The following is a 13,458-nucleotide window of genomic DNA, read 5'->3' on the forward strand; positions in this document are numbered from 1 at the left end:
GATGGCAAGAAGCAAAGAAAACAGAGCTGTGTAGTTGATAATGTGGTGAGCTTTGGGTGCGTTTCTGAGTCCCAAGAAAGGAGGCAATAGAGAAGGAGGGCTTGGAGATTGTGAAGGGGAGGCATGATGGATGGAGGAGGGGCTGGGGAGGCACAGGGTGTGGCTCTAGGAGCCCAGGAGGAAGGTCTGTATCTGTTCAGCCCCTGTGTGCAGACCCTGGTCTGCAGGCACCTCCTTTAGGAGCTTGAGGGCAGAGACCCACCTGAGCTGACACAGGGGTCTGGAGACTGGGAGGAGAGGACCTTGAAAACCACAGACCATCTCCTTTGCACCTTTCAGAGGGGAGAGAAAAGCCATATCTGCCTGGGTGTGTGTGTGTTTGCTCAGGCTGCCGTAACAAAGTAATACAGATGGAGTGGCTTAAACAGCAAATTTATTTCTCTCAGTTCTGGAGTCCAGAAGTCCAAGATCGAGGTGTCAGCAGGATTGGTTTCTTCTGAGGCCCCTCTCCTTGCCTTGTAGGTGGCCATCTCCTTGCTGCGTCCTCACCTGGCCTTTCTTCTCTGCTGCTGCATCCCTGACACCTCTTTGTGTGTCCAAATTTCATCATCTTATGAAGACAGAAGTCAGACTGGATCAGGGCCCAGTCTAACAGCCTCATTTTAATTTAATCACCTCTTTAAAGGTCCTGTCTGCAAGTCAATTACGTTCAGAAGTCCTAGATTTGGGGTTGCAAACACAGGAGTTTTGTGGGGCGGGGTGCAGTTCAGCTTAAAACACAGCCTTTGAGCAAGGCTGGGAGAAACAGCTCATTCTCCAGGTGTGTATCCAGCATCTACTCTGTGGATTACCTGTTTTCAAATTGTGACTGTAGGTCAAAGTCATGTCCCCCAGGACTCCTCTTCATGCAGCTGAGATGGAGCTGACTCACCCTAGCCCATGTTCGTTGTTAATTTCATGGTCATGGGCTCATCTAAGAACTATAACAAACATACTAATAATAGCTGTTAACACTCAGGCCTTCAGTGGATGTTTTTCCATGGACCAGGCATGCGTGGCCTCATTGAATCGTCACCCTATGAAGTAGGCTGAGGAATTTGAGACTCAGCAAGTGGAGTCCCGTGGACTGCAAGGGTTGAATGTGGCTTTCTCCAGAATGGCCAGATATGTTGTGCCTGAGACCTTGGGCAGCAGAGCAGAGCTGCATCTGGTCTCTGTCCACGGTGCTGCGGTGGGTAAGCTCCCAGGGGCACCTTGTTGAGTCTGGAGCCCTTGATGGGACCAGTTGGTTTTGGGGCAATTTCCTTGGCTGGGCAGGAAGAGGAGGTGCTGGTGGAGTTCATGGGGACCCTGAAAGGTCTGACGTTTTGACAAGAAAAAAGGGAGTTATGGTATCTTCTCCCACTTTAGGTGGGAAATCGTCTTGTTCAATTCTGGAATACGGCAGAAGCGCAAGCTTGCGTCAGAGAGAGAAAGAAAGAGAAGGTGTTCTTGGCTTGAAGAGTGATGTGCTGGGCTCGGGGCAGGCTGGCCCTCAGATTCATGTTCCATACAGTGTCTGTGCAGTGGGCCCTTGCCATTTTGACTAAGCCAGGGTCCTTCCTGTGCAAGCAACTGACTCAGCCTTCTGAGACCAAGGGGAGCATGTGTGGGGTTTGATCTCCTCCATGGGGGCTGCATTTGGTGAGGGGAGGAGTTGGGTCCTGACCCAACGGAGGTGCTTGGCTGATTTCAGAGCCTGGTGGGGGCAGAGGGGGTATTTCAACTCCTGGGGCCCTGAAATCAGAGAGTACTCACAGAGTGAGGTCTTCCTCAAGGCAGCTAGGGTTTCTGTGTGTGCCCTCTGGGAATCCTAGTTCAGGAGCTGGGGTGTTTTAAGAAAGAAATGCTATCTTCCTGTGGTTTCCCATATTGCTTAGAAAAACACCTGAACTCTTTATCTCAACCTGTAGGGCTAGATATGCTCTGGTCCCTGCCTGCCTCCTTGACATCATCTCTTTGCCTCTCCCATCACTCGGTTTGATGGTTCTGGCTGCTCCAGGCTGCCTCCTAGAGCTTGTCCATTGTCCCTGCCCCAGGGAGTGTGACCTGCCATCCCTCCATATGGAAGTCTCCTTCTTGTCATTCCACTCTCAGTGCTCCTTGATTCCTAGTCTAAAGTAACACCAGTTACTCTCCACCCCGTAATTCATCTTGTTATCATCATAGGAATTATCATTCTGATCTGATCTTCATTTATTATTAATAGTTATTGGTTAGCTTCCTTATTTACCATGTTCTCCCCCATCTTCCTTCTGTCTTATGGCAGCCATTTGTCATCTTGTTTGTTGTCAAAAACAGAGCCTACAACAGAGCCTGACACATGTTAGGCATTTAATGGACGTTTTGAGAATGAATGAATAAAACATTCTTTTTTAAATCTAAGAGAAAAACAAAGCCAAAGCAATTGTTTCAATGTAGACTCAATGTTTCTTCTCTCTCTCTCTCTCTCTCTCTTTTTTTTTTTTAATGCAGGATCTACTGTGCCTGCCATACAGCCTGGTTGAGGGTCAGGTAAGTGCTCATTTTGTCCTGACTTAGGATGTCTGTGAAGTCTAGTGGAAATGAAAGCAATAGAAAAATCTTGCGTCACAGCCCTGCAACTTCACTGCCCAGGGCAGACATCTGTAATCAACCACAGCACAGTTCATCCCTTAGCAAGAAGGTCACTACTAATTGATCAGGGAAGGCTCATGAGATCAAACATACTTAGCATCTTTAATGTATGAGCTCCAGAAATGAAGTCATTTTTGCCAGGGTTGAGGGGTAGGCAGGCAGTTAAACAGCTTCTTATTGGGAACAATGAGGGTGCTTGCCTATATTTCATCATTGAACTTTGAAGGTGAGTGAAGCCCACATCCTTGCATTATGCCACAATTTTATTAGCACTGGAGGTACCAGAGCTTGGCCATGTAAGAATATAATTGAACCAAACAGATCTATACCTTAGGGCAATGCATTTTTTAAAATCGATTTCAACTCTACGTTATTATTGTTGCTTGATAAGGAACTAATGTAATTTCTAATGAAGCCACATGGCCCTTGGATAGAGGAAGTAAGATTTTTATTTCCTCCACGATGTTGTATCCACTCTTCAATTAAAACCTGAGAAGGAAAATTAATACAAATGTAAGAATGTTTTTCCTCAAGATTAGTGTCAAGATAGCATCTTTTTATTATATATGTAAATTTCCTGTGTAATAGGATTGGAGAGGATTGCATGGCTGGCCCTTGAGTGGATTGGGGATGGTTTAAGTGGCAAAGGAGGCTTTGTGGGGAGGCGGAATCTATGCTTGCTGTCATTTAAGTGGTGATTAGGGCATGCTCTGTGCCCTCTTGTTCCTCCTCCCACCCCTCTTACTGTCCACCCTTCCCCAGGTTCCTACTGTTGGCTGCCAGTTATGGGTAGAAGAGTTTGAGTAGCTCCTTTTTAAACAAATTGTGTTGAGGTGAAATTCACATAGCATAATATTAGCCATTTTCAAATGAACAATTGAGAAGTATTTAGTACCTTCACAGTGTTGGGCAATCACTACCTCTCTGTACTTCCAAAACATTTTCATCATGCCAAAGTAAAGCCCTGTACCCATTAAGCAGTCTCCCCTGTTGTTCTCCTCTCCCTTCAGCCCCTGACAGACACCAGTCTGCATTCTGTCTCTGTGGGCTCACCTATTCTGAGTTTTTCACATAAGTGGAATCATATAGTAAGTGGCCTTTTGTGTCTGGCTTCTTTTACCAAGAAAACAGTTTGGCAGTTCCTCCAAAAGTTAAACATAGAATTACCATATGGCCCAGCAATTTCACTCCTACATATATACCCCAAATTGCTGAGAACAGGTACTCAAACAAGCACATGGACACACGACTTCACAGTGACATTATTCATGGAAGCCAAAAGGAGAAATAGCTGACATGTCCAAATAAAATGTGGTCTATCCATGCAGTGGAATATTATACAGCCATAAAAAGGAAGGAAGCAGAAATCCATTCTACAACTTGGATGAATCTTGAACACATTATGCTGTGTAGCTCCCTTTGGCTTGACCTGGATCCTCTCTGTGCTGACATTGGCTGGTTTATCAGAAACACAGTTACAAGTTGTGAGATCCTGGGAGATTGGATCCATCTCAGGACAGAGGTCGCTACTTCTTCACTTGGCTTCCCGCCCCGTCCCTTAGCTTAATTCTAGCTTCTGGGGCTGGGAACTGAGAACAGAACATATTTATACCTTTTCCCTTGCTCTTGGTAGGTGTCTGCCCGTGCTGTGGTCACCCTGAACCACTCTGCTTTCTGCAGGACCTGGTGGGGATGGCTGGATCTGACCAGTAGAGGTTTTCTTGGGAGGTGGGTACTAGAGCGGGCAAGCTCTGGCCTGTCTGTTGCCTCCTCTTCTGCTGCTTTGGAGAGCATGGAGCAGGTGGTGGAGGGGTTCTCTCAGGTGCAGCTGCCTTCAGGCATTTTGCACTGCTGGGAGCTTCTCAGAGTCCTCTTTCTTTGTGGGGAGTAACATCCCAGCACCTGTGCTCATTCCCCAGCACACCCCCCATGTAGACAAGTCATTTCAGGACTAGTTGGGTGTTTGGGAGGTGGGCTCTGTTAAAAGCCAACAGAGCAAGGAAGCATCTAATGAAGTGTTTGTTGTGGTGGGGGAGCAGTTTATAACATGCCAGGGATTATCCCAGGTGCCTTATTCACGTGCATTCATTGCTTCTGTCTACGCTGCCTGAGTGATGGCACCATTGTTTCCCTCTTTATTAATCAGTTTATAATGGAAATTCATATAACATGAAGTTAGGCGTTTTACAGTGAGCAGCTCCGTGGGTTTTATTGCATTCACAATGCGGTGCCACCATACCTTCATGTAGTTCCAAAGCATTTTTGTCACCCCCAAAGGAGACCCTGCGACCATTAAGCAGTCACTCCCCCTTCCTCCATCCCCAGCCCCTGACAACTGCTAGTCTGCATCCTGCCCCTGTGGATTTACCTCTTTTGGATATTTTATATAAATGGAATTGTATAGTATGTGGTCTTCCGTATCTGGCTTCTTTCATTCAGCACAATGTTTTTGAGGTTTATTCATATCGTAGCATTCTCTCCTTTTTATGGCTGAATAATATTCCATTGGAAGGCAAGACCACATGATTATCCATTCATCTAGGGGTGGAAATTTGGGTTGTGTCTACCTTTTGTCTATTGCAAAGAGTGTGCCACCATAAACATTTGTGCCCATGTACTTGTCTGAGTTCCTGTTTTTGGTTCTTGTGGGTATATACCTAGGAGTGGAATTGTTGGGCCATATGGTAATTCTGTGTTTAACTTATTGAGGAGGTGCCAGGCTGTCACCATCTTTTAACAAAGGGAAACAGACTCAGCAGGGTTTCTCCCAGAGCTCCCAGAGTGAGGAACAGAGCCGAGGTCTCAAGCCTGCAAGGCTGGCCTTCACCCGTGTTTCCACCCACCATGCTGTCCTGCATGTGGAACATCAGCCCTGGGTAGCATGGTTCTAGGCTGTGCACTGGGCTTGGGCAAAGAAGGGGGTAGGAGATCGAGGGAAGGGGAGACAGGCTCTTCTCACCTAGAGGGACCAAATGTGTCTATTCCTGGTCCCTGGTATACCCCCTTTTCCCACTGCAGCCCCTTAACCTCTAAACGTTGGGAAGTCTGTGCAGTTTCTGGGTCATTTGATTGCGTTGGTTTGTTGATAGGTTGTTTAACCCAGATACACATGCACACATTCTCTCTGTCTGTCTCTCTCAATCTCTATTTATCTCTCTCCCTCTACCTTTCTATCTCAGGGCTGTCAAAGGCAACTTGACAGAATAATAACAATTCAGTGGGCGTCACCCGTGAGCCATATGATAACCCATCAGCCTAAATCCATGCAGCATCTGAGCAACTGGGTCTCATCATCTCTCTTTTTCTACCATGGAGTGCAGGACCCCAGAGAGCTGAGGTAACCTGCCCACAGTCACACTGCTTGTAAGTGGCAGAGCTGGGATTTGAACCCTGGTCTGTCCGCCTCTGCAGCCTGGAACCCTCCCATTGCATCTAGAGGCTTCTCCAGGCTCCCTGAAAGCATCAGCATTTTTCATACCAGTGCAGTGATTATTATTATTATTATTATTTCTGAGACGGAGTTTCGCTCTCGTCACCCAGGCTGGAGTACAGTGGTGCGATCTCAGCTCACTGCAACTTCCGCATCCTGGGTTCAAGCGATTCTACTGCCTCAGCCTCCTAAGTAGCTGGGATGACAGGTGCCTGCCACCACGCCTGGCTAATTTTTTGTATTTTTAGTAGAGACGGGGCTGGTCTCAAACTCCTGACCTCAGGTGATCCACCGGCCTCGGTCTCCCAAAGTGCTGGGATTGCAGGCGTGAGCCACTGTGCCCGGTCTGATTGATTACTTTTAAAAACTCATTACAGTCTCGGCTTTCCCAGATCCACACAGCCCCCAGAGCATCTTTAGATGCTAAAAAGTTCTTAGTCGGATGTGAGAAAATGGGAATTCCTATTGAGGAAATGGCGTTCTGTTCCTCTTTGAAGAGAGGCTCAGGAACCAGCGTATTGAAAAACAGGTGATCTAGTCTCTACAGTTGAGATGTTTTTTAACTGGCCTTGCATTTCTGCCTTTTCAGTATTTCAGTGACTGGGTTGAGGTAGGAATCTGTTGAGTGGTGTCCTTTTTCTCTCGGAGAGATGCTCTATGAAACTAACAGAGAGGATCCAGGTCCCTACCATTGCTGGCAGCCCAGGAAGCTGAAGATGAGACCCTTCCCAGGTGGGAAGGAGAAGAAAATGATAAAAGGTGGCATGGGCATGTAGGTGCCCACCCCCGGAGAACCCTCTGTCTCTCCAGGCACCAGGGCAGTTACATGGTCTGCCTGGGAAGGAACTTCCCCAAGGCAGAACATCCCCCAGGTCCTCACTCCTGAGTGTGATAAAGCACTCGTGGGACCTCGGGAGTATTTACACCTGCTCTGAGCCCAAGCTTCAGTGGCAATAATTCTCTGACCTTTTTAAATGGATAAATCTCCTTGGCAGCGGTATATTTCTAGAGTCTAGCCTAGAGTGGGGATCAAGGTCCTGGCGAGATGTGGCTAGACCAAGGAGAAGATTTATTATCCTTGAAGGGGGTGTGTTTTGGAAGCTGCCATGCCCTCAGCCCCGCTTCATGCAGCATGGGTGGAAAAAAGTGTGTTTTTGGCTGGAGTGTGGGTCCTTGTGTCACCTCCCCGACAGATGAAAGCAGGCAGGCTGTTTTTCAGATTGCGGTGGATTTATTCCTTTGATCTCCTTGCCTTGTCTGCCTTCTCTGTGACTTCTGACGGATGCTCTTTTCTCATGTCTCTGTTATTTGCCGTCACACAGAAAACGGGGTGAGAATCTTATTATCACGGCTCTCTCCCTGCCTTCTAGCATCACCAGGGAGCATAATAACCTCTGTGGTTGGCAGCACCCTCCTTTTTATTCTGTTTCGGTTCCTCCTCACTCCAGAGCTTCCACCCACGAGGCATAGGGAAGCCTGGGGAGGAGGGCCTGGCATTGCTTGTACACCTACTGTGTTCCAGGCACCTTACAAATGTGATCTCGTGTAATCCTCCCAACATTGTCCCCCCAACCCCCATTGCAAGAAAGATTATTATTAAACCCATTTGCAGCAGGGGGGATCCTCAGGGTTAGATAGGCGAATAACCTTCCCAGGCTACCAGGTCTCCCGGCTCAGCACAGACAGGGCAAGGATTAAAATCTTGGTCAGACTGACTGGGGAGTATTTGCTCTTTTTAATGCTATCCCAGGGGTCAGGAGGGTCCGTGTGCATGCTGGAATGAAATCTTCTTCTCGTCTTCCAGGCTCCTTAATTATTTCTTAGAGTGATTTCTGTGCTGCCCTCCTGGACTGGGTCTCACCTCCTTTCATCAGCTGTTTGTAAATTCACAGCGCCTTCCCTGTTTGAGAGGCTGGGACTGGCTTCCCAGTTGATCATTTCCTAACAGAAGGAATGTTCTTTCTTGCTCTGCAAGTGTCAGCTCATAATTACCAGCGTAATTAGAGCAGGATTTGCCATCTGATCCTCCATGGAAGCTGCACGCCTGTCTGCATAGGTAACTTTGGCGTAGAAGGGTGTCTGACTTCCAGAGGAACTCAGGTTGTCGTAGGGGATCCAGCAGAAACACATGGAATTCCTGCTCAAAGTCCCAAGGCTTCCCGTTGTTATCAGACTATGTCCAGACAGTCTGACACTGACACCAGCTGGCTCCAGTCACCTTTCTGACATTGCCTCTGCCCCTGCCTTGATCCATGAGGCTCTCAGAGCTGATGTCCCTCCTCCCGAGGAGACTTTGATGACTGCCCTGGCTCAAACATGCCCCTTTCCATTGCCCTGTTCTGTCTTTTCCATGGCACTCAGCATGATCTGAAATAATATTCCTTTTTTGTTCTCATGTTTATTTACATGATTTCTTCCCACAAAAATATATGCTCCCCAAGAAATATGTCTCATTCACTGTGATAGCTCCTGGGCATGGCATATAATGAACATCTGATAAATATTTGTTAGGTGAGAAACAGACCTTACCTGACACCTCATTACTCCTGTTACACTGTGATGTCTCATTGCTTATCATCATACCTCTTTTTAATTACTTTCTGTACTTACCCTGTTTTTTTTTCTTTTTTTCTTTTTTGCAGGGCTATGGATCTATAAAATTCCTAATAAGCAGTACCTCACCTTTTTATTCCATTCCCAGTACCTTGTGTAGTACTTAGTAGAGAGTAGATAATGCACGTTGCATGGGTGGGTAGGTGGATGGATGGATGGATGGAAGAGTGGGTAGATGAATGGATGAAAAGATGGACGTAAGGAAGGATGGGTGGATGGATGGAAGGATAGATGTAAGGGTGGGTGGGTGGATGGACAGAAGGAAGGAAGGATGGGTGGGTAGATGGTTGGATGGATGAGTGGGTGGGTGGGTGGGTGGATGGATGGATGGATGAATAGAAGGATGGGTAGAAGGATGGATGGAAAGGTGAGTGGGTAGATGGATAGATGAATTGAAAGAGGGAAGGTGGGTGGGTGGAAGGATAGATGTAAGGGTGGGTGGATAGATGGATGGAAGGTAGATGGATGGAAAGACAGATGTAAGGGGGGTGGGTAAATGGATGGAATGAAGGAAGGAAGGGTGGGTGGGTAGGTAGATGGATGGATGGGTGGGTGGGTGATGGGTGGATGGATGGTACACAGATGGATAGATGGATAGGTGGATGGATGGATGAGTAGATGTGTGAATGGATGGAAGTAAGGAAGGAAGGAAGGATGAATGGGTGCATGGACAGACAAGTGGGCAAGTCTGGCTGAATTTTCCTGAGTTTGTGACCATATTCCAAAGCAAATAAGAATTTCTTTGGCATTACTCCATCTTGGATTATTCAAACCCTACCCATTATTCAACTACAGCATTAGCCAAGGTGCTCGTGAACTTCTAAGCATTAGGAACTTGTCACAACAGGACTTTTAAAAATTAATTTCCACTTACACTATAGGCTGAGAAAGTAGATTGTACAGAACCTACTGAGGGGACTTCGTTAAAGCTTAACTTGTTCATTAATGTGTGTTTAAAAAATACCCCTGGACGGCTAGGCGCGATGGCTCACTCCTGTGATCCCAGCACTTTGGGAGGCCGAGGTGGGCAGATCACCTGAGGTCAGGAGTTCGAGACCAGCCTGGCCAACATGGTGAAACCCCGTCTCTACTAAAAATACAAAAACTAGCCAAGTGTGGTGGTGGGCACCTGTAATCCCAGCTATTTGGGAGGCTGAGGCAGGAGAATCTCTTGAACCCAGGAGGCAGAGGTTGCAGTGAGCTGAGATCGCGCCATTGCACTCCAGCCTGGGGGACAAGAGCGAGACTTCGTCTCAAAAAAAAAAAAAATACTCCCGGACATTTGTAAAGGTGTTCTCTCTGTATGACAAACCTTATTTATTTTATAAGCATGGGGTAGCATGGGGTTCTTTATTTTTCATATGAGATAGGTTGGTTAGGATCTTCCAGAGTTAGTTTATTTCTGTTTGTTTTTCTTGGTACTGGCCAAATATTGTCCCGTACATATTCTGAGCCCATGCTATTTGACTCACAAAGGCTATTTATTGACTAGCATTGGCTATGGATTGAACCTTTTATTAATAGAAAATGACCATCTTGAGCTTGGCTGATGCATCCTACCTTGGGTTTTTCTGAAACCAGCATTATTCTCCATTCTTTCTTTGGTTCCGATGGGTAGGCCTGGGCATGCTACCCTTCATTTTGTAAGATTTCCTTTTGTTGTAGGTGTCTCTTGGAAGTGGCACATGGATGGATTTCGTTTATTCAGCCAGTCTGAGAATCCTAGTCTTTTAATAGAGGAATTTAGTGCAAATATATTTGCCGTAATAGATATGTTTGATCTTCTGTCATTTAAAAAATTATTTATTACAAAGACTTTTCTTGCTGCTTCATTTGTTTTCTCTGTTCTTTGCTCTGTAGAGTCTGTTAAATTTGCTTTTATCTTACCTGCTGATTTGAAGGTAGGCATCCTGCTATTAAGTCTACATTCGATTTAAGTTGAGCCTTGAAGTTCTTCTGAAAAGGCTGCTGTAACCCTTGTTTCTCTAAGATTCAAAGTCAAGAATGAGATGACAGCTTTAAACTGTGTCCAGATAGGATGAGGAAATTTAGCTCAGCTGCATTTTGCATTTTTCTGCACCTTCTTCCAACCTCTTCCCAGGCATTGTCAACTATAATTGGGACCTTCAGAGCCAGCTAAATGTCAATAATTTATAATTTTGACATAGGTATAGTAATAGGTAATATTTATGTGGAGGGTTAATATTTAGCAGGTGCTGTGCTTAAGCACCACATATAGAATTTCTCACCTAATCTTTGTGACAACCCAGTGAGGAGCCAGTCCTTTGCTTCCACTGTTTAAATGGTGAAGGTGAGTCTTTGAGGTTTCATAAGATGCCTACAGCCACATATCTGAGGAAGTGGCAGAGCCAAGAGTGCCTGGACCTGGCTCTAGTTTTTTATTTTTATTTTTATTTTAAGATGAGGCCTTGCTATGTTATCCAGGCCGAAGTGCAAGTACAGTGGCACGATCATAGCCCACTGCAGTCTCAAACTCCTGTGTGCAAGTGATCCTCCTGCCCTGGCCTCCAAAGTGTGGCTCTAGCTCTTAACCATGACTGTCTTGCTCCTCTGTCAGAATTACTGCTGCCAAGTGTACGTGGCTTTGAAAAATGTATTTATACCAAGCAGCTCATCCAGGCTCCTCCCTGCCTTGTTTCCAGCCACAGTGCCCCCTCCTTCTCTTAGACTTATGTTATTGACCCCAGACTTTGAGACCAGCACCACTCACGTTTTAATGCATAAAGGGAGACCCTGGGCACCCTTGTTAAAATGCAGAATCAGGCAATGCATGTTACATACCTTGATTTAGCTGTTCTGCAGTGTACACATATCGCAAAACATCATGTCATATACCATGAATATATGCCATATTTTACTTGTCAATTAAAAAAATAATAAAGTGCAGAATCTGATTCGGTAAATCTGGAGTGAGACCAGACATTTCTTATATGCTCCAAACTGGAGAGGCTGAGGCTGCTGTTCCTAATGCCTTCATGTGATTGCAAGATTCTCCATTACTCTAGAACACAGTCGTTCTCCCTACTTAATTGACATAGTTTTAATTGGACCGTGAGCTCATTACTCATTCATGTAGTGGTCAAGTAAGTGAACTCTGAAGACAACTGCCTCAATTTGAAGCTCAGCCCTGGCACTCACAGGTTTAACAGTGTCCATCTTACCGGGTCATTGTGGAGTTGAAGCAAAGTAAGATAAATTAAGTGTTTTGAGTAGTGTCTGGAATTTACTTGTTGAGGACAAGATACATGTTTAATATGATTTGCTCCATGGATGCCTTTTAATTTATCGCTGCACAAACCACCAGCTCCTTTCCCTGCCTCTTGGGTGCCTCTGGGTTTGTGCAGACCCTGCCTTTAACTTCGAAGTTTCTTCTATTTTCTGGGCAGAAATCCTTTCCTCAAGATGGCTAGAGTCTTGCGTCTTCCAGGCAGCCCTCCAAGTTAACCTTTCTCAATCTAGTTCTCCCAGTTATTCAAATAAAAATGTCTACCTCTCCATCTAGCCATGATAGCACATACTAAACTTTTTGTAACTGATGTTATCTGTATATACAGATTTGGAAAACACACATTGGTAAACTATTTTGGTGTTTATTTATTTATTTATTTTTTTGAGACAGGTCTCGCTCTGTCACCCAGGCTGGAGTGTGGTGGTACAATGAAGGCTCACAGCAGCCTCGACCTCCTGGGCTCAGGCGATACCTCCCACCTTAGCCTCCTGAGTAGCTGCAAGCACAGGCGCATGCCACTACATCCAGCTAATTTTAAAAATTATTTGTAGAGATGGGGTCTTGCTTTGTTGCCCAGGCTGAAGATATTTTTGGTGCCTGTATTTTTTTTCCTAGCCACAGGCCTTAGAGCTGGTTTCAGGGGAACTGAAAAGTTGCACTCAATGCGCTGCTACGTTGGCAGATGGATGATGGTGATGGTGCTGGGGAAGGAGGTAATGATTTTGATTATGATTATCTCACGACCAATCAAATACCCAAAGAGCTAGGAGAGAAATGCTCAGCCCCTCCTGGGGACAGGCTGCCTTTCCTACCAGGTGGCCCAGACTGTCACTTCCAATTTGGGAAACGATCTTACTTTGCATAAGTTATTGAAGTAATTGCACGGGCTGTTTCTCTTAATCTACAAGAAGCTGAGTTGGCATGGGACAACTAATAGGGTTCATTCTGATTTTTGTCTAGACGATATTTGATCCATAGTCAGTATCTTACTGCTTACCCTCATTGCAAATCTTCCTATCTGGGGGCTGGGGTGCATATAACACCAGTCTCTCTTCTCTCCTGATGGGCATGTATGTCAGGACGAATTTCTGTTATGGGTGCTTTATAGCTTTCTGATCACAGAAAAGACCTCCTAGAAATTCGTACTTGCAAAATGACGTGTTGTCTCACTGAAGGAAATTTCTGGCTCAGACACTATTGTTCTTCCCTGGCCAGTTAGCGTGATGTTTTTCGTTAGCTGAGACAGAAAGGGCGTGATGTGAAACTCAACTTGCTCAGCCCCAAATGCAGTTCTCCTTGGTTCTCATTACGCATCACCGTGGCCCACCTCACTCCCCACTTCTAGGTAACCCTTCCTTTTGTTTTGGCAGCTCAGTAGGGAGGGATCAGGGGATCCACACACCATGGAGCTGAAATTCTGTGTTCCTCCACTTTCCTTGGAGAAGCAGATGACAGGGAAGCAGCCAAACATTCCCTGATTCCGCAGCCAAATGTTATGTCCTCCCTTGGG

At 45.9% G+C, this 13,458-nt stretch overlaps 1 protein-coding gene across 4 annotated transcripts in view; it reads left to right on the plus strand.

The window, feature by feature from the left end:
• The window catches only part of RBFOX1 (RNA binding fox-1 homolog 1), a 2,473,620-nt gene that overhangs the window by 224,981 nt on the left and 2,235,181 nt on the right, over window positions 1-13,458 (plus strand). For 3 of the 4 annotated variants that reach the window (NM_001415887.1, NM_001415888.1, XM_017023318.3), the window contains exon 2: window positions 2,515-2,553. The exons of the other annotated variant lie outside the window; for it this stretch is intronic. In NM_001415887.1, the coding sequence (NP_001402816.1) occupies window positions 2,515-2,553 (39 nt within the window). The remainder of the gene's footprint in view (window positions 1-2,514; window positions 2,554-13,458) is intronic. 4 annotated transcript variants of the gene reach the window in all.

The sequence above is a fragment of the Homo sapiens genome, chromosome 16 (genome assembly GCF_000001405.40).
Source record: "Homo sapiens chromosome 16, GRCh38.p14 Primary Assembly".
Taxonomy (NCBI): Eukaryota; Metazoa; Chordata; class Mammalia; order Primates; family Hominidae; genus Homo; species Homo sapiens.